Source organism: Homo sapiens, chromosome 7 (genome assembly GCF_000001405.40).
Source record: "Homo sapiens chromosome 7, GRCh38.p14 Primary Assembly".
NCBI classification, from domain to species: Eukaryota; Metazoa; Chordata; class Mammalia; order Primates; family Hominidae; genus Homo; species Homo sapiens.
In genome coordinates this window covers 87525407-87547370 of record NC_000007.14, presented here as the reverse complement: position 1 = coordinate 87547370, position 21964 = coordinate 87525407, and the positions used below count along the sequence as shown (strand labels likewise).

At 38.8% G+C, this 21964-nt stretch overlaps 1 protein-coding gene across 4 annotated transcripts in view; it reads left to right on the top strand.

Moving 5' to 3' along the window:
• Window positions 1-21964, top strand: part of ABCB1 (ATP binding cassette subfamily B member 1) — a 210279-nt gene that overhangs the window by 165925 nt on the left and 22390 nt on the right. For all 4 annotated transcript variants that reach the window (NM_001348944.2, NM_000927.5, NM_001348945.2 and 1 more), the window contains 7 exons: window positions 1347-1508; window positions 2372-2548; window positions 3096-3242; window positions 5907-6014; window positions 8026-8103; window positions 10830-10913; window positions 15874-16077. In NM_001348944.2, coding sequence (NP_001335873.1) covers window positions 1347-1508; window positions 2372-2548; window positions 3096-3242; window positions 5907-6014; window positions 8026-8103; window positions 10830-10913; window positions 15874-16077 — 960 coding nt within the window. The remainder of the gene's footprint in view (window positions 1-1346; window positions 1509-2371; window positions 2549-3095; window positions 3243-5906; window positions 6015-8025; window positions 8104-10829; window positions 10914-15873; window positions 16078-21964) is intronic.

Below are 21964 nucleotides of genomic sequence, written 5' to 3'. Positions count from 1 at the left end.
TTATATTTTAAAATACTTTAGGGTGTAAATTTTGAGGGGAAATTCCACATACCCCTTTTTTCTTAAAAAGATACAAAAATTGATCTATTTTCTTCTGTATTTTCTAGTTTCTACCACCTAATTTTTCCTTGTGTATTTTTTCTTTTTGAAGTTTTCCACTTCTACTTATCCTATGGATCCTGAAAATGTTGTGTGTTGGTTTTGAGAATTGTATTGCTAGTTATTAGAGAGACATATAGAGTAACAAAAATTATGAGCATTGGGAAAGTTACAAAGGTTAGAGAAGTCTCAGACAAGGCCTGGATATCTGGCTCTGTTCCTTTATGAAAATAAAAGAGACTTACGTGACTCTTCAATTTTTCCATAATTCTTCAACCTAGGAATAAGTATCACTAACTATGGATAAGGCACAGTGTTGAGTACTTTATGTGCTTTATTTTATTTAGTCATCACAACTACTCTAAGAAGTAAATACTATTATTATCCCCATTTTACATATGAATAAATTGAGTCTCACACAGTTTCCTTGGATAAAATATTTTATTGGATAAAATAAATTCATAAATTTATTTCAGGTCAGTGTGACATTGAGGTCTGGACTTTGCTGCCTCACATTTATTGTCTGTCTTGTTCATCCAGGGGGTCATGCGGGATAGGATATTATAATTCCTAGGGCTGATTACTAGCCGGTGTGTATCAGTACAGCACAATGGCCTGTGTTTGTTTTGATTGGCCAACGCCTGGTCTGTAGGAATTTGTTGGTTTGTACAAGCCCCTGATTATTATTATTTTTTTATTTTTTATTTTTTTTTTTTGAGATGGAGTCTCACTCTGTCACCCAGGCTGGAGTGCAGTGGTGCGATCTTGGCTCACTGCAAGCTCCACCTCCCAAGTAGCGGGGACTACAGGCACCCGCCACCATGCCCAGCTAATTTTTTGTATTTTTAGTAGAGATGGGGTTTCACTGTGTTAGCCAGGATGGTCTTGATCTCCTGACCTTGTGATCCACCCACCTTGGCCTCCCAAAGTGCTGGGATTACAGGCGTGAGCCACCACGCCCGGCCCAAGCCCCTGATTATTACTGCAAATTTAGGTTAAATAAAATATTTGGGGGCTTACATAATATTAATATGTGACTGTTATATTTGTGTTTGTATTTATTACAAGGAAACATCATTTTTAACTATTATCAATTGTCTATACATTTATTGAAGTCAGAGGCTATCTTATATAGATTTGATGGTTTTACAATGCCCACAGCATTGGTTCAGTAAATATATGTTGAATGGTTAAGTTTCTTCAGGTAATTGTTAATGTATTCAAAAACCAAATTTCTCTCTCTTTAGGCCAGAAAAGGTCGGACCACCATTGTGATAGCTCATCGTTTGTCTACAGTTCGTAATGCTGACGTCATCGCTGGTTTCGATGATGGAGTCATTGTGGAGAAAGGAAATCATGATGAACTCATGAAAGAGAAAGGCATTTACTTCAAACTTGTCACAATGCAGGTATAGTTTAACTTCAGAATTTTCCTAAGTCATCTCAGTGATAAACTGATTTTGCATTTAATGCTAAAAATAAATATTATTTGATTTGATTACCTTACAAAGTAGGAAACAACACCTGGGGGATTCAGGATGAGACCAGTGTTTAAGATTTTTTTTCTCTCTTGAAAGAGGGGAAAATAAAGAAGGATAAACAGATAAAAAAATTAAAAGGTTTCAAGGTGAGTTATCCGTTATAGTAGTCAGTAGCCACATGTGTCTGTACAGCATTTAAATGGTAGTGAATCTGAATTGGAATGTTTTAAGTAGAGTGTGCACATCTTGTTCTGAAGACTTAGTACAAAAAATGCAAAATATCTCAATTTTTATATTGATTACATGTTGAAACGATATCATGGGATATCAATAATATATTGGATATATTAGGTGAAATAAAATATATAACTAAAATTAATTTCACTTCTTTCTTTTTACATTTGTTAACATGGCTTCTAGAAAATTTAAAATAACATGGCTCATAGCATGGCTTGTGCCATATTTCTGTTGAAAGCACTGATCCAGAGTAAACTTGATTGAGTCAAAACACCCACAAAAAATGGCGTGAGAAGATAAGATACATGGAATGAATGCCAGATTATTTCAGTATATGCAGTGGGAATTCTTCTTTGGTGGTTTTCGTTTTCAAATATCACACACACACACAGACACACACAGACACACATAAAACAACACAGCAGATTAGCTTTATCCTTTTCTGCAGTTACTAAACAAATTGCTGTTTTCCTTGATAGCTGACATTCAGTGATTAGCTTTCATTGGTTAACACACAGCCTAATGAGCTTTTGCATATTTCTTATTTATTTTAGACAGCAGGAAATGAAGTTGAATTAGAAAATGCAGCTGATGAATCCAAAAGTGAAATTGATGCCTTGGAAATGTCTTCAAATGATTCAAGATCCAGTCTAATAAGAAAAAGATCAACTCGTAGGAGTGTCCGTGGATCACAAGCCCAAGACAGAAAGCTTAGTACCAAAGAGGCTCTGGTATGAAGGGAGATGCGGAGTTTGTTTTAATCTCACTAACTGTGGTTCCCTAGTTTGGTGGGCTAGGGCTACAGTAGGAGTGGGAACAAGAGAGGTTATCCAGAATCCTCCTGTCCTATCCCCCAGAATGTCAACATTTTAGAATCAGGTTAGAATTTAAAAGTATTAATTTACACAGCAGAATTTTTAGAATTAAAATTTATAGTGTAAAGAGACTATAGCGGGTCTTCAAATATCAAAATTTCCATTCTGTTTACTCCTGCTTATAAATACTCTTGTCAGGTTCTGAGTACCAAATAAAAGTAAGTGTTTGTGGAAACATCATTTATTTTTTAAAAAATAAAGGAGTATTGTAGCAAAATTTGTCAACATTTTTTTGAAGCTAAATAATAATCACTATGACATTTTTTAAAGCAAAATTGTCATCACTTATTCATTGATAAGGAATAAGGATAGGATATATTCCTTTACTAATTTTTGTGCGTATGTAAGAATTGTACATATAAAAGTTTTTAACTAGCCTGTTGTAATAATTTGTGTTTTCTAGGATGAAAGTATACCTCCAGTTTCCTTTTGGAGGATTATGAAGCTAAATTTAACTGAATGGCCTTATTTTGTTGTTGGTGTATTTTGTGCCATTATAAATGGAGGCCTGCAACCAGCATTTGCAATAATATTTTCAAAGATTATAGGGGTAAGTGTGATGCCCATTTGTGTGATTTACTTGTGAATCCTGATGGAAGAATGAACGAATAAAGTGCTTGTGTCTGAACTGGGATACAAAAACAACAAAATCCACGTATCTCCATATGAAACTAATTGGCTTGAAGATGTAAGAATAGCAGTCTGGTTTGTGATAGGAGAGCTAACTTTGTGAACCTTCCTTTGTCATCACAGTTGGTTTCTAACCTGGGCAACTAAAGACCAGCTTCCTGAAATAGTCAATGAAAGTGATGAGATGACTTTCTCATACCTGCCAACATTTGGCTCTGAACAAATCTTGTGAACTTTCATTTCACCAATGTGCAAAGAGAGTTCCTCAAATGTTTGTCAGGCTGGCTTGAGAATGCACTGTTCTCTAACATACATACTTTCCAGGATGTGAGTAAGCCTAGCATGCTTCTTTTGTAAGATGTAATTTTCATCCCACTTGCTAAGATTAAAACAAATAGGAACGGCTTCCTAAAGATTGAGGTTGACATGTGTTAGTTCCACCTCATCTTAATGGTGGCATTTTCAACAGTAAAGTTACAATCTGAAAGGAATGCTCTCTGTTTAGTGACATATGTCCAAACATCAAGCTGAGGACACCCTTGCCATAACTGCTGAAAACATTGTGGAGAAAGAGATTGATCACCACAAGAAGCATAAGCTAAACACTGACTTTTGATTCTACAAAATATATATGACTATTCAGGTCTACTCATGCCTGGTTAGCTTATTTCAGTTTAATATATTCATTCATGAATTCATGTTTAATGACATTCATGCTTAATATTAAATATATTTATTCAAGAATTGTTATTATTTTTTGAGTCTCGCTCACTCTCGCCCAGGCTAGAGTGCAGTGGTGCGAACTCGGCTCACTGCAGCCTCTGCCTCCTGGGTTCAAGCGATTCTCCTGCCTCAGCCTCCTGTGTAGCTGGGATTATAGGCCTGCACCACCATGCCTGGCTAATTTTTGTATTTTTAGTAGAGATAGGACTTCACCATGTTGGCCAGGGTGGTCTTGAACTCCTAACCTCAAGTAATCCACCTACTGGCATGAGCTGCCATGCCTGGCCTCTAGAATTATTTTTTGTGTCTGCTCTGTGCCAGGTATTTTTCTAGTTGTTGAAAAAATTCCGAGAATGTGATCAAATGTCTGATTCTGTAGAGTATATGGTCCAGGGCAGGAGTCAGCAAACTTTTTCTATTAACAGTAAGATGGTAAATATTTTAGGCTTTGCATGCCACATGATTTCTGTTGCAGATACTCAACTCTGACCTAGTAGTACACAACAGCAATGTGGAAATGAATGAACACGACTGTGTTCCATTAAAACTTTATATAAACATTTGGCCAGTGGCCCATAGTTTGCTGATTCTTGCACTAACATGTGTCTTGCAGGTTTTGGGGGTTGGCGGGGGTAGACTGTGGTGTCATCAGAGAAAAAAAAAAAAAGGAAATGGTTAAGTTAGGAATGGGTTTGGTTGTAACAAAACCTCAACTTATGATTTTATACTTTTCTCATTCTTCATATGACAATAAGTCTGGAGGTAAGTGACCCAGGGCTGGGATATTAGCTCTTAGATATTGAGTAGGCAACCAGACATCTGCCTCATTGAAGATAGTGGGCTCTGCATCGGATTGCCTGGATTTATATCCTTGAGTCATCCCTTGCTGGCTGTGTTAACTTGAGCAAATTAATTACCTTCTCTGTACTTCAGTTTCTATCTGTGTAAAACCGTGATGATAATAAATCATACTTCTGGAGATAGTTGCCAGGATTAGAGGAATAGTATATATGAATTTGCTTAGAATAATGCCTGGCATAGAGTAAGAATTTGGTAATTGTTATGATTTTTGTTGGACTGACTAGTCAAAAAAAATTATTTAATCTCTTCAAAAATCCTTGTTGTTGTTGTTATTTGTTTGTTTTTTTATGAAGGATAAAGTTGTCTGTCCTGGGCTAGGAATGTTACTATCTTACAAGACTGATTTTGGCCCACTGTGAAGGGAGATACGTGTTTTCTTTCCCTGAGGAATGGTTATCCTCTGTGTTCCTTGAGTCCAAAACATCCTATTAGCCCTTATAACTATCTCTGGAAAAAATTTCAGGTATGGTGCTAGGTCAGGTAGCTGTAGTTTCCAACTGGCTCTCTTAACTGGCCATCCTACCAAGAAGGCAGGCTCAAGGAAATTCCTTTCTTTTTGAAAGGCCTGGGCTGAGTGAATGACCACCACTCTGTGGTTCACCAAAAAACCACATCAGGTTTTCCCCAGACACCTTGGGACAGTTTGAAATGTCCAAATAGTAAAGCAATGAACTGCCATAAATGTAGTTCCCCACCAAGGGAAGAGGAGAGTATTTGTTCTGATTTCAACTTTACACAGTTGAGGTGGCACTCATGACTCCAAGAGGGAATCCGAACAGAAAAAATACTGGATCAATTTATGAATGATAGACCTATCCTTGGCCTCCACAGAAGGGAGAATGCAGACACCTTTAAGGCTGGCAATAGGAAAGCCAACCCCAATTTCCAGCGTACTAAGGCTCTCCTGACCCCTGAATACTGGGCCAGATGGGAAATGGGTCAGGTCCAGGATGGGTTCTTCACTGATTGAACTAAAAATCCTTTAAATGTTTTCTCACAGGTTTTTACAAGAATTGATGATCCTGAAACAAAACGACAGAATAGTAACTTGTTTTCACTATTGTTTCTAGCCCTTGGAATTATTTCTTTTATTACATTTTTCCTTCAGGTAAATGTTTCCATTTTCACTATATTCATTTTGAGAAATGCATCATTATTCAACTGGGGGGATTTATAAACATCAGTGTAATTGGCCTTTTAGTAGAACTTCTCTATTAACATGGCTACTAACAGCCAAGTTTTTCTGACATAGTGAAAAAAGATGTTTGCCTCCTCTGGCTCCCTTGCTTACCTTCTCCTCTCCACCCTTACCTCCCGCAATGAAACCAGGGGGAACAGAGTATTTGGCCTGATATGATGATTGGAGGTGAAAGGCAGGGACTTCAAAATGGGGTGTGGGGGAGCCCTGGATGTAAGTTTGGATATAAGTATTGCCAGTAAATGTAAATACTCAAAGAAATGTCTTCCCGTGTTCTAAAAGCAACAACAAACAAACAAAACCCCATAAGCGGGTCACATGGGTTTAAAAAGGGTTTGAAGAGTTTATCGTTCAACTTTTGTTCAAGGAGAAAGAATCATTTCAGTGATGGAAGAATGTCAATCCTCCAACAAAAAATGTAGGAAACATTTGTAAAGAGTCAGATTTTTACAGCTTGCAAATCATTTGGCTGAAATGAAATGGCAAGGAATTAAGTACTCTAAAAGTTTAGTATGAGGGCCAGGTGTGGTGGCTTATGCCTGTAATCCCAGCACTTTGGGAGGCCGAGGTGAGTGGATCACCTGAGGTCAGGAGTTTGAGACCAGACTGGCCAACATGGCGGAACTCTGTCTCCGCTAAAAATACAAAAATTAACAGGGCGTGGTGATCCACACCTGTAGTCTCAGCTACTCAGTAGGCTGAAGCAGGAAATGTCTCAGGAACCCAGGAGGCCAGGAGGAGGAGGTTGCTGTGAGCCATGATCGTGCCACTGCACTCCAGCCTGGGCAACAGAGTGAGTCCCTGTCTCTAAATAAATAAATAAATAAATAAATACTGTTTGGTATGGCAAGACAGTATTGGTTTTGGTTCAAGTGCTCCTTGTACCTGTTTCTGATTTTGTGTCCTTGGGCACATAAGTAAACTGTCTAAGCCTCTGTTTCCTTAGCGGTAAACTAGGGATGCAGGTACCTGCCTCTTGATGATTAAAAGGATCATGTGACCAAGTGCTCAGGCCTGCATGAGGCAGTAGTAGGTAATCACTTATTAATTGAATGATTAGCCACCTGTAATTTTTAAAGATAAAACTGTGACTAGATCTCTTTATTTAACATGTAAGCATGTATTACATTTTTAAAAAATAGAATATTTTTCTGGACATTATAAGAGGTGCAAAAGAAAAAACAGACTGAATTCTTTCTTTACTGAGTACTTACAGCCTCACTGGGGAATTTGACCTTACTAGAATAAATGTGACACTCTAACTACTTATAGGATTGCCATACCAACTATTAATACCACAGGTGTTTGGAGGAGGTAAAGATTGCTCAATGTAAATTTGGTTAAGAAAGTTGGAGTGAGGTGGGCTTTGAGCTGGTCCCTTAAATGTTGACGATTTGAATTGGTGAAGCAAAAGAAGTTAGAGGACTACCTTCATAACATGGTGCTTGGGGGGACTGGAACCTAGCTTGCCTAGAAAACAGGTGAGAACAAAGTCTATGAGTTATAGGACCTTAGAAGTCTAGAGATAGCAAAATGCCTAAAGATGTTAGACCACCCAACTCCTCATCTTAGTAACATGGGGAGGGAGTCCAGTGGGTAATTAAAAGCTCAGGCTCTGGATTCCCATTCTGGTTAGGATTCTCATGCATCTGGATTAAGATTCCAACTCTGTGACCTTATAACTGTGGGCTATGGATCTTATCAGGCTCTCTAAGCCTCAGTTTCTTCTGTAAAGTGGGCTTTTCTGTCTACACCACCCGTACAGCCTTGTGCCATGGCACACAGTCACAGAAACATAGCAAGCCCTTGAAATCAGGCTTTCTGACTTTGTCTGATCTCCTGCTTTAGCAAAGACATCAATTCTCCCTCCTTTTATTTAAATGGTGGCTGGGTCCCTGACAAGGTATGTTCCTGCCCACAGGGTTTCACATTTGGCAAAGCTGGAGAGATCCTCACCAAGCGGCTCCGATACATGGTTTTCCGATCCATGCTCAGACAGGTATGTCTATCGAGGGCTGTGCCCTGGGATGTGTAGAACTCCCCATGTGTGCCCCTTGGACTCAGACAGTGGGAGCTCTGTCATGTTTCCCAGGCCTAGCTCCTATATTGGTTGTCCCTCAGTCTCACGTCAGAGATGCGGTTGAACCGCCCACTAGGCACAGATGAGGCTCTACTGTCTGTCAGGTCTGGGTGGGCACAAGGAACTGGACCAGTTTGAGACAGAGCCTCCAGCGTGGATTCACCTCCAGCCTGTGTCTCAGCAGTGGTGGGCAGTGCAGGCAGAAGGCATCTTTGATACCCCTCATCCCTTTCCTCTCTTTCCTTCTTTCTCCTGGCAAACCCAGGGCACGAGTGTTTCTTCCCACCAAGAGATGCCCTCTGTACTCTTTCTTTCCGCAAATCAAAACTCATCCCTGTGTCCTGTTCTTCACTGCCCATTTTCTTTTCTGAGGCTAGTCTGAAATACTAGTTCAAGCTGCAGTGTTACTGGCTGATAATGGGTTTAATGGAATGCTTCTCACATTTTGCAGCTTCAAAACCCTAACCATTGACACGTGTGAATGTTTTCCTGGGGAAATGGGGAAGGAAATTAGAGGAATGTAACTCAGAGCAGCCTGGTTCAAAGGGGAAAGTTCCTTTAACAATCATGAAAATTTTGTATGTGACCTAATAACTTTCCGTTTTAAAAATCACTAATCACTTGCCATTGAGTAAAATGATGCTTTAGAAGTCTGCCCCAGATGTGCCAGGGGTACTCGAACCCTGGCTAAGAGGCATCAGTTTGGTGTGTTAGGCTTTCTAGAGGGCATTCACATTTTACCAGCTGTCTCTGGTTCCTCAGTTCTTCCCCATTCCTCCCATCACCATTTAGAAAGAAAATGTATTTATGGGAATTGCTAGCTAGTGACTGACAGAGCCAGGACTGAATCTAAGTGAGAGAGCACAGTTTGATGGGAAACCCTGTCCTTGGACTGTCAGGTCGAACTGTATTTATAAGTCAGATTCCACTTAGGTCTACACTGACCTTGCTCCAGGGCCAAATTTCCCATTACCCAACCAGCCTCCAGGCCAACTGCTGTGCCCATTATACTTTGGCAGCTGAGCTGATGGTTTGTGGAATGTCTCCTCCATAAATTGTTAAGTAGGGCAAGCATTTATTAAGTGCCTTCTGCTTACAAGGTCTAGTACTTAGTATTGTAAGGCATTCAAACCTGAATGGTCCCTGTGTTCAAGGAAGTTACATTCCTGTGTGGAGACACTTTTAACCACTTAAGAATATTGAAAAGCAAGTTGATACATACTATAATAAATTATAGCACTATTTTTTCTTAAATATTTTTGGGAAAAATGATAGATACTTCTTTAATGTAAATAACCAGTTTAGATAACTTCTTAGGGACCACAGTTATTTGTAAAACATATAAATTCATACTTCAAATTCACAATCATGTTAGTATCTGTGTATTTAAAAATATAAATGGTTTTACAAAGAAAATCTTATTTTATGTTGAATGTTATATTTTAATCTGGATTACTTTTGCTGATTTGTTTTTGACTCAAATCACTTATACTGCCCTGAGCTACATTTATCTAACTGCTTATTCAACCTCTCTATTGGATGTCTAATAAGAGTTTCACTGTTTAACATTTCCAAAATGGAGCTTTTGACTCTTCCCCTCCCCACCAGCCTTATTCCTTACCCACTCTTCCCCTATATCAGTAAGCGACAGCTCCGTTCTACTAGTTGTTTGGGCTAAAAACCTTGAAGCCATCTTTGACTCTTCTCTTTCTGTTAACATTGCAAAAGCTTCCTAACTGATCTCCCTACCTCCATTTTTATCCCAATCCTGTAGATTCACCTAAAAACAGCCACAGTCATTTTTCTAAAATAGAAATCAAATCATATCCCACTGCCCAAACCTGCTGAAGGCTGCCTGTAGCTCACAGGGTAAAGTCTGGAATCTTGACAGTCGCCTGTAAGACCATACACTATGTGGCCCCCACTCTCTCTCAAATCTCATCTCCTATAACCGCCTTTTTCCAATACACCGTCTACTCCATAAACAGTGGCTCACTGCCCAAGAGTAGGGGAGGGGAGGATCAGAGGAGCCAAATCAGAACACAAATCTGTCCAGAGGAAGGGGGTGGCTTTTACAAATTCATACAAAGGTTCTTTTTAGGCTGCTGGCAGCCTTTAAGGCTTTCTTGCTGGTGTATGAACAGATTAGGTATGCCTTTGCCTCAGGGTCTTTGCACATGCTGTTTCTGCTTTCCCTGAGGTATTCTCATCCTTTCCTTCATTCAGGCCTCTGTTCAGATGTCCCCTTAGAAAGGCCTTCTGTTTCCCCTCCCCAGTCTCTAAAATAGCACCTCCCCTCACTTTTCTGTTCTTCTTACCCTGCTCAATTTTTCTTTTATTTGTACCTTCCATCTCTAGAATCTAAACTTCATGAAAGCAGCTACTTTGTCTTTTTTGTTCGTACAGGTCCAACACTTAGAAATCATGCGTAGGAGAAAGTAGGCACTCAGAAATTTTTCTGACAAATGAAATGATCTATTTATGTGTTTTTATATTAAGTTTCTTTCTTGTGTATTGAATGTCACATCCTGAGTACTAAATGCAGGGGGTATAAGTATAAACAAAACTGACCCCATCGCTGCCCTCTTGGAGCTGAGAGTCTCATAAACAGCTTTAAGGTAATAAAATCATTTTCTGTGCCACAGGATGTGAGTTGGTTTGATGACCCTAAAAACACCACTGGAGCATTGACTACCAGGCTCGCCAATGATGCTGCTCAAGTTAAAGGGGTACGTGCCTCCTTTCTACTGGTGTTTGTCTTAATTGGCCATTTTGGACCCCAGCATGAAACTAATTTTCTCCTTACGGGTGTTAGTTATCATCATTAAGAAAATGTTGAATAAATATCTAACCTACGAATATATCACATGCTTTTTGTAGCAACATGTTAACTATTTAAACATTATATACTGTAGAGCATATAGATAACTTATAAACCATTTGCTATTGCTGTTATTCATGCTATTAACAAGATGCATGTAGAATAGTTATTTAGAAAAGAGAGTATAAAGTGCTCAATCAACATAAAACAGTAATTGCTACTGAAGAAAGGATGTATTTAATTGCTGTAAGAAAGTTTAGAGTCACTATGGTTACAGAAGGGAGGGAAGACAATCCTCTAAAATATAGGTTGAAGGAAATGAAAAGCACATTAAAAAATTAAGGCAAGAATAGAATAACTTCAGTCTTTATCTTTAATAACTTTAAACTTTAATAATTTTAATAACTTAAATTTTGCTACTGTATGAATCTCTTGATATAACTAGATACTATTGAACCAGCAGGTTTTGATTTTTGGCTGAAGTGACAATTTCTTCTACAACTGTTTATGGCAAAAGTCCACAAAATGATGTAGAATTTGAAAAAATTCATGTAATCTCTGGTGTGTCTTTTCCCCTCTTGAACCTTATCCATCTTTATCTTTAAATCTTTTCTGTAAGTTAGTACTATACTAACATTTCTTCTATCTAATATATGGGGCTTCTTTAAGAATAAATTAAGCTATAAATGAGGAAATACATAGAGTTATAACGTTGAAATATAAACCTTAGGAGTCCCTCTTTTTCTATTGTTTGGAATAGTTTCAGAAGGCATAGTACCAGCTCCTCTTAGTAATTGTTGTTTTAATACAAACTTCTTTGCCTAAAGCAAACAAAACAATAAAAACAAGGTTTAGATCAAGTTGTATAGAATGTAATTACAGGTGCACGCCTGTAATCCCAGCTACTCGGGAGGCTGAGGTACGAGAATTACTTGAACTCAGGAGGTGGAGGTTGCAGAGCTGAGATTGCACCACTGCACTCCAGCCTGGGTGACAAAGCAAGACTATGTCTCAAAAAAAAAAAAAATGCAAAGAAGACAGAGTGGCTGGAATAAAGTGAGTGAAAAGAAGAGTCATAAGTGTGTTAAGGTCAGCATTATATCCAGAAGTAGATGGAAAACCACTGTAGGGTTTTGAACACAGAAGTGACATGATCTGAAATTTTGAAAGGATCACTATAGAAACTGTGTGAATAGGCCGAAGGGGGCAAGCATAGAAGGAGTCTGTTGCAGTAATCCAGGAGGAGATGATAGTGTTTTAGACTAATTTGGTTATACAAAAGGCTATAAGATATAATTAATTCTGGATATATTTTAGATGTACAGCCAACAATGTGTTGGTTGGATAAGATGATGGATATGAGAGAAAGGGTATTTAAAGATGACTCCAAATTCTTTTACCTGCACAGTGGAAAAAAAAATGGAGTTTTTTTTTTTTTTTTTTTTTTTAAAGAGACAGGGTCTCTCTTTGTAGCCCAGGCCAGACTGCAGTGGCATGATTACAGCTCACTATAACCTAGAACTCATGGGCTCAAGCAATCCTCCCTTCTCAGCCTTCCTGGTAGCTGGGACCACAGGTGTGCACCACCATGTCGAGCTAATTTTTAAATTTTTTGTAGAGACAGGGTCTCCCTATGTTGCCCAGTCTGGTCTTGAACTCCTGGGCTCAAGTGATCCTCCCTGCCTCAGCCTCCCAAAGTGTTGAGATTACAGGTGTGAGCTGCCATGCCCAGCTGGAGTTGATCTTTATGAAATTCAGAAGCCTGTTGGAGAAGCAGGCTTGGGGGAGAATGGAGAGTTCTGTATGAGACATGGTAAGTTTGTGACGTCTGTATTAGACATCCATATGTAGATGTCAAGAAGGCTGAAATTTGCACTGCTAACTTTAGTAAACCTTTTTTATAATTGGTTTACTAAATAAGTTTTACTATGCTTCTCCATTCATTTTGGTCCTCACAACTCTATAGACTCCTACTCTGTAGGAGGAATATACATGAGACAGTGAGCATTAGTCTTTGGAATAAAGGAACAGTAACCAGTGCAATGTGACATTGCACAATATGACACAGACCCTGTGGTATGGGCTCATGTGCTTTGATGGACAAATATCCCGCATCACATTTGACGTGGAAGACACAATCCTGGAGGCAACTCAGTCTTTTGCAGCAGAACCCAGAGCAGATGTATTCAGGGCATTCTGTATTGCAGTTTTTCTTCCTGCCTCTCAAATTCCTCTGGTGTTATGACCTGCCTTAGGCCACAGTGAGTTCCTATATTTGTAAAATTGGTGGTCACTTTTTCCCTCCATAGTGCTGTTTGTGAGGCCCTTTGCCATATTCACTGTCTCTAATTGCCTGCTGGGGTCAACCTTCTGCTTTTCACTTGTTTCCTCAAAGACACCTCAAACTTGGCCCTGCCAAGATGGCTGCACTCACCTTATATGAGCCACTCAAGCAAAACTGTTTTCCAGAACTTAAAACAGTGGCTAAAAAGGAAAGACCAGGGAAGAGGAAATGAGCAGGTTGGCAAACATTGTCAACCTAGGAAAGCCCAATGTAGCTGTTATCACAGATTGACTGAGAGAGGACTGTTGGATCTACTTTACACCACTAGCTGACCTGTTTTTGGCTGACGGGTTTTAGTTCCTCCCCTCAACCCTAGTCTTTACAATGAAAATTTTCTGGCTACTAATCTGTGCTCTTCCATTCTTCTTAGTCCCCATATTTCTATAGACTCCTACTCTGTAGAAATAGATGTAGGACAGTGAGTGTTAATCTTCAGAATAAAGGAATAGTAATCAGTGTAATGTCTGAAGTGCTAAATCAAATGAAGCCGAGGGGTTAAATCTCCTTGCAGTTTAAGGTCTTAGACTTCTTAGTTACTCTTTTTGGTACATTAAAGAATTTGCCATCTTTGATCCATCTTATTTATTTCTGTGGCCCTTCACTACTATCCAAAGCTGCACATTTATATGTCTGAAAAGTTAAATAGCCAGGTAATTCCTCTGCCATGAACTCACACCTAGAAGTGATTCTAGGTGATATTCTAAGAGCTTCTCTCACAAGCCCATAAGTCAGTAGCTGCAGTGGGAAATGAGCTCTGAGTAGAACTTGTAGATACTGAGAACAGGAGCAACTTATATCATCCCTGTGCCACAGCCGTTCTCCAGCTTGCATCCTTTGACCTTCAAACTAAAGATGTGAAATGCAGAGAGCTGGCTTTGAAAACCATTCCAGTCTGATTTATCCCAAATTTGGCAAATCATCCCTTTAATATAAGCTCAATGATTGCATCAACAAAATATACAGGTGTTCTATTATTTATGATACCTCTTTCAGCCCTGGTGCAGCTCCATGGTATGGAATTTAATGTATTTAAAGGCTACTGATAGTTATAGCACTCTTTTCCTAAATACTAGTCTGGTGTTTATATCAGACAGGTGTTAAATGATTTTGTAGGGATTAATGTAGGGAATTATAAAGGATTCTATTGTTACTAGAAAGGGGTCCCGATGCAGACCTTGAAAGAGGGTTCTTGGATCTTGTACAAGAAAGAATTCAAGGCGAATCCACAGAGTAAAGTGAAAGCAAGTTTATTAAGAAAGTGAAAAAATTAAGAATAGCTACTTCATAGGCAGAACAGCAGCATGGGATGCTCAGCTGCTTATACTTATTGTTACTTCTTGATTACATGCTAAACAAGGGGTGGATTATTCATGAGTTTCCTAGGAAAAGGGGTGGGCTCTTCTCAGAACTGAGGGTTCCTCCCATTTTTAGACCATATAGGGTAACGTTGCCATGGCATTTGTAAATTGTCATGGCGCTGGTGTGTCTTTGAGCATGCTAATACATTATAATTAGCGTATAATGAGCAGTGAGAACAACCAGAGGTCACTTTTGTCACCATCTTGATTTTGGTAGGATTTGGCTGGCTTCTTTACCACAGCTTGTTTTATCAGCAAGGTCTTAGCGACCTGTATCTTGTGCTGACCTCCTGTCGCATCCTGTGACTTAGAATGCCTAACCTCCTGGGAATGTAGCCCAGTAGATCTCAGCCTTATTTTACCCAGCCCCTTTTCAGAAAAGGCAGGTCTGGGGCCAGGGCAGGCATTTGGAATGGCTTGAGGGCACAGAATATTTCCAGGGTAGAGGAGATGTGCTGGACTAAATTATAGAGTGATGGACTAAACTGACTTTGTAGCTTGACTTTTGGTTTCAGAGTTGGAAATCTGGTTTACAGTTGGACATTATACAGTGGTGGATTAAATTCACTTTGCAGTTTGACTTCTGGCTTTAGAGCTGGAACTCAGTGCACACTAGTGAAAGTCATGCTTCAGACTCCCTCTGGAATTCAAGGGGAAGATAATAATGCGCGCTTACTATCTTAAATTAAATTCCATAATTTTCAGCTCTGTATTTTTTCCAAATTAAACATTATATCTCAAACAGACCCAGATATATTTGAATATTATTAATGACAAACGTTAGGCTTAAATTACAAATAATAATATACCTAACATTGGAAATTTCCATCATTCCTAGTTTGTCAGACTCCTTTATCTTGCTAATTTGCAGATATTGCTTTAGTAATGTTGCCGTGATTAATGAAGGTTTTCTTGGTATTAAAAGATCCAAAGAGATAGGAATATGTAATTGAACTCTAGATTGTTGATATTCTACTTTCAGCATTCTGAAGTCATGGAAATTCTTACTGTAGAAACTCAATAAACTTACAAGTAGACCTTTACTTTTTAGTTCATTACTGATAAAATAATGAATATAGTCTCATGAAGGTGAGTTTTCAGAAAATAGAAGCATGAGTTGTGAAGATAATATTTTTAAAATTTCTCTAATTTGTTTTGTTTTGCAGGCTATAGGTTCCAGGCTTGCTGTAATTACCCAGAATATAGCAAATCTTGGGACAGGAATAATTATATCCTTCATCTATGGTTGGCAACTAACACTGTTACTCTTAGCAATTGTACCCATCATTGCAATAGCAGGAGTTGTTGAAATGAAAATGTTGTCTGGACAAGCACTGAAAGATAAGAAAGAACTAGAAGGTTCTGGGAAGGTGAGTCAAACTAAATATGATTGATTAATTAAGTAGAGTAAAGTATTCTAATCAGTGTTATTTTGTTACTCCCTACTGCTTACTATGCTCTAAGAATGTGTTTATAACCATTCCTCAAAGCAATCTTTTTCATGCTTATTCAGTAAATTAGAAACTTACAGAAAGTAGCAAAGCCAGTTCTTGGACTCAAAAACTGATAATTAACTTTAACAGACTTTTTCAGTTTTCAGGCCATTGTCTTCACACTGTTCTTCCTTCCTCCCCACTTTCCTCCTTCCCTTAGTTATTTTCTTCTTTCTTTTCTCTCACTTTCACTCTCTCTCCACTCCTTCCTTCCTTCTTTCCTTCCTTCCTTCTTTCCTTCTTTTCTTTCCTTTTTTCCTTCCTTCCCTTCTTCCTTCTTTTCTTTTTCTTTCTTTTCTTTCTTTCTTTCTTTCTTTCTTTCTTTCTTTCTTGCTTTCTTGCTTTCTTGCTTTCTTGCTTTCTTGCTTTCTTGCTTTCTTTCTTTTCTTTCAAGCTTAAATCCATTCCTTTATTGAGGAAAGTAAGCCCATTTTATTTGTACATGTGAGGGGGGAGATTAAATATGGAAAAATGCTAGGGGTATTTATTATATCTGTTTTAAATTACTACCACTCTTTCTTTTTTTTTATCATGCTCCTCCCTTCATCCTATTTCTGTTTATCTTTACCCTTTTTTTACTTCTTTTTTTTCCCCTGCATACTTGTCTTTTTTTTCCCATTATTTAACAAATGCTTATGTGGCATTTACTGTGTTTCCAGGCAAATGTCTTATTCCTTATAGCAACCATATGGGGTCTATTATCTCATTTTTCTAGTGGGGCTGAGGCACAGGCAGGTCATGGCTCTGGACTTTAGAGCTGATAGGTCTTGGAGCTGGGATTCAAGCTCAGACAGTTGTGCTCCAAAGTTGTTTCTCTTTCTGTTATAAAACAAAGAGTTCCTCTGATGGCAGAATGCAGTCTGATATCACATGATCTGTATCATAGTGGAAATGAGAGGTCAGAGCAGGGCTGACTGCCATAACTAACATTTAGGACAGGGATATATGTGTGATGAACATTCTGAGATTCCCAGGAGTTAGGGCAGGGACTCACACAGATCAGAGTGGCTCTGGTTGTCAGTAGGCCCAGCTACCTCACCAAGTGAATGATGAAGAAGGCCCCAGATGTTGGTCATTGCCACTAATGCTTTGTCCTTTACCTCTCTGCTATCTCTTCAGACTCTTTATCCCATTTTTGGGGGGTTCCCTCTGGAAAATCTTTTGGGCCAGCTGTAGTACCTCCCCAGCCAGTGTCTGTAGGGGACAAACCTCATGCGAGGCATCCTATCAGGCTCCCGGAGGCCTATTTCTGGAGGTACATCAGGATGGTGCTGACCCACAGGGTTCTATTGTGGTCTGGCTCAAGTAACGTTGGCCCCTGCCAGGGAATACATTCTGTGCCAATGACTTCCTTTAATATTGTACTTTGGGGGTCTCCCCCATGGTGTTGACTCTTCCCCTGAGAAGATGGAAAAATCTAGGACAAAATATAAAAAAAGGAGAAAGCATTCTAGTTAACAGTGTCATTATTTAATGAGGTATTTGAAATGTCCCAGAAGGGAGTCTTAGATTGCTTTTAGGAAGAAGATGATACAATCTGATCCTAAGCTAATTCATGCAAACCACAGGTTAGCACCTTTGAAGTGACACATGAGATTTAAGACTCTTGGAGTTCTGTCAGAGGGGCCAAAGGAAGGGGAGCAGATGGAAATGAATTATGTGTGGATATGGCAGATTTTCTGAGCAAAGGTCAGGGATGTGATACATTTTCTAATTCAGGGGTGGCTCATGAGAGGGACAGAAGTAGGTAGGGAAAGTAGTGGATCTGCACCAACCAGTCCACATAATATTGAAAATCAACTTCCACCTGAACACACTTCTCAAGCTGCTATTTAGTACTTCTTATATAACAAGTATCATTCTAACAGCTCTAAATACTTGATCTAATTTAATGCTGTCAATAACCCTGTTGAATTATCCCTGTTGGATAGATAATGAAACCCAAGATTCAGAGAGATCAAGTAACTTGCTCACAGTCACACAGCAACAGCCTCCTAACCAATCTCCCTGCTTCAACTTCTTCCATTCTTATCCAACTATAGTCTACATTCTTACAGAAGTCATTCTGACCTCTCATAAATAAAAATCTAATAATGCCAACCCTTACTTAAAACTCCCAAATGGCTTCTGATCATACTTGGAACAAAATCTAATCTTTTATCATGGATTACCAAACTCTGTATGATCTAACTCCTGATGACCTTTATGGCCTTATCTGGCATCACAGTCTCTTATGCCTGTGTGCCCTGGCCCAGTGGGCATTCTTGCAATTCCTGGAATGTTTTAAGCTGATTGCCTCTGCTCTTCTCTTGGCTGACTTTACGTTATTCATATCCCAAAATTATTACCTCTTCAGAGAGGCCATTCCTGACACCTGAATTAATTCATGATACTTCGCAGCCCTTGATGTTTCTTTCCTATTTCTTTGTTTATTGGTTAATGGTGTACCATTTGTTTATTGATTAATGGTGTATGTGACATTAGAGCCCACACTTATTCTGACTGCATGATGTCAAAACCTGCTCATAACCTCTACCCTGCCTGTGATCTGTGCTCTGCAGTTTTTCAGCACATTATTGTGGACTAGTGAGCATTTTTATAAAATACAGGTGACCCTTGAACAGCACGGGTTTGAACTGAGTGGGTCCACTTATATGTAGGTTTTTTTCAATAAATGTATTGGAAAATTTTTTGAAGACTTGCAACAATTTGAAAAAACTCACAAGCCATGTAGCCTAGAAATATCAAAAAATTAAGAAAAAGTTAAGTATGTTATAAATGCATAAAATATATGTAGTTACTCGTCTTATTATTTACTACCATAAGATATACACAAACCTATAATTAAAAAAAGTTAAAAGTGATCAAATTTTATGCACACAAACACTTACAGACCATATAAGTCACCATTCACAGTCAAGACACATGTCAACAACTGTAAAGATACAGTGTTACATGTTTTGGCTCTGTGTCCTCATCCAAATCTCACCTTGAATGGTAATAATCTTCACATGTTATGGGAGGGTCCCAGTGGGAGGTAAATGAATCCTGGGAGTGGGTTTTTCCCATGCTATTCTCATGATAGTGAATAAGTCTCATGAGATCTGATGATTTTATAAAGGGGAGTTCCCCTGCATATGCTGTCTTGCCTGCTGCCATGTGAGATGTCCCTCTGCTCTTCCTTCATCTTCCGCCATGATTGTGAGGCCTCCCCAGCTATGTGGAACTGTGAGTCCATTAAACCTCTTTCCTTTATAAATTACCCAATCTTGGGCATGTCTTTATTAGCAGCATGAGAACAGACTAATACATAGTGTTAAATCATAAAATAAAACCATAGTATGTACTGTACTACCCCAGTAATTTTGTAGCCACTTCCTGTTGCTACTGCAGTGAGTTCAAGTGTTGTACCTGCTTAAAATGCAGTGACACTAACAATCTCAGCAGGAGCAGTTCATCTCTCCAGTAAATTGCATATTGCAATAAAAAGTGATCTCTCATGATTCTTGCGTATTTTAAAAATCATGTTTAGTGCAATACCATAAACATTAAATAACACCAGGGAACCCATATCAAGTGACACTAGTGTTGCTGGAAGTGCTCCCAACAAGCAGAGAAAAGTCATGACATTACAGGAAAAAGTTGAACTGCTTGATACATACTATAGATGTGAGGTCTGCAGCTGCAGTTAGTTGCCTGCCATTTCAAGATAAATGAATCTAGCATAAGAACCATTGTAAAAGAAAACAAAACAAAACAAAAACAAAATTCGTAAAAGCCATCACTGCAGCTACAACAGCAGGTGCAAAAACCTTGCACTTTTTGTACAATACATTTATCTCATATTGAAAATGCAGCTTTCACATGGGTGCAGGATTGCTGTGAGAAAGGCATACCTATAGACTCTAATATGATTAGAGGAAAAGCAAAGTCAATTCAAATTAAAAGTAAGATTAAGGATCAGAGCTGGGTCATTTAATGCCAGCAAAGGATGGTTTGATAATTTTAGAAAGATATTTGGCTTTAAAAAAATGTCAAGATAGCAGGAGAAGGAGCTTCTGCCAATCAAGAGGCAGCAGAAATGTTCCTAGATGCTATTAAAAAAAATCATTGAGAAGAAAGGATATCTGCCTGAAAAGGTTTTTAATGCAGTCGAAAGTGCCCTATTTTAGAAAAAAAAAATGCCACAAAGGACTTTTATTAATAAGGAAGAGAAGCAAGTCCAAGGATTTATGTCAGAAAGGAGTAGGCTAACTCTACTGTTTTGTATAAATGCAATCCGGTTTAGGATGAGTCCATATCTATAGATATGCTCTTATGTGTAAAGCTGTTCATCCCTGATCCTTGAAGGGAAAAGATAAGCCTCAGCTGCCAGTATTTTGGTTGTACAACAAGAAGGCATGGACAATGAGAGCACTTTTTCCGGATTGGTTACATTGATGCTTTCTTTGTTCTTGAAGTCAGAAAGTACTTAGACAGTAACGGACTGCCTTTTAAAGTTCTTTTGATATTAGACAATGCTCCTGGCCACCCAGAACCCATGAGTTTAACATCAAAGGTATTGAAGTGGTCTGCTTGCCTCCTAAACATGTCTCTAATTCAGCCTTTAGATGAGGGGGTTATAAGAATCTTTTTTTTTTTAATAAATTTTTTGTAGACATGAGGTCTCACTGTGTTGCCTGGGCTGGTCTCGAACTCCTGAGCTCAAGCGATCCTCCTGCCTTAGTCTCCCAAAGTGCTAGGATTACAGGTGGGAGCCACTGTGCCTCGCCACTCATAAGGATTTTTAAGGCTCATCACAAAGCACATGGTACTCTACAGAAAGGATTGTTAATGCTATGGTAGAGAGCCACCAGAGAGAAGAACATCATGCAAGTCTGTAATCCTAAAACGATAAATTTCTGCTGGAGAAAACTGTGTCCAGATGTACATGATTTCACAGGATTTATGACAGAGCCAATCAAGGAAACCACAAAAAGAAATAGGAGATATGAAAAAAAAAAAAAGGTGGTGGGTGAAGGCTTTCAAGGTATAGATTTTGGAGAACCTCAAGAGCAAATAAACATCACACCAGAGGAATTAACAGAAGATGACTTGATAAAGATGAGTGTTTCCAAACCACTGCCAAACAATGCGGAAGAAGATATAGGAGAAGCAGTGCCAGAAAACTAACTTTACGCAATCTGGCAAAAGAGTTTCGGTTATTCAGGACTGCTTTTAACTTCTTTTATGACATGGACCCTTCTGTGATACAGGCACTGAAACTGAAGCAAACAGTGGAGGAAGGATTGGTACCATATTGAAACATTTTTAGAGAAATAAAAAAGGAAAAAGTCAGACAGAGACCACAATGCATGTCAGTCACACCAGGTGTGCCTGCCTTTCCCGCCTCCCCTTCCACTTCCTCTGCCTCTTCCCCTCTGCCACCCCTGAGACAGCAAGACCAATCCCTCTTCTTCCTCCTTTTCCTTAGCCTATTCAATATAAAGATGATGAAGATAAAGACCTTTAAATGATCCACTTCCGCTTAATGAATAGTAAATATATTTTCTCTTCCTTGTGATTTTCTTAATAACATTTTCTTCCCTCTAGCTTACTTTATTATAAAAATACAAATATGTATTACATATAACATACAAAATACATGTTAATTGACTGTTTATGTTATTGGTAAGACTTCTGGTTGACAGCAGGCTATTAGTAGTTAAGTTTCTGGGGAGTCAGAAGTTATATGTGAATTTTCAACTGCACGAGGGGTCAGTCT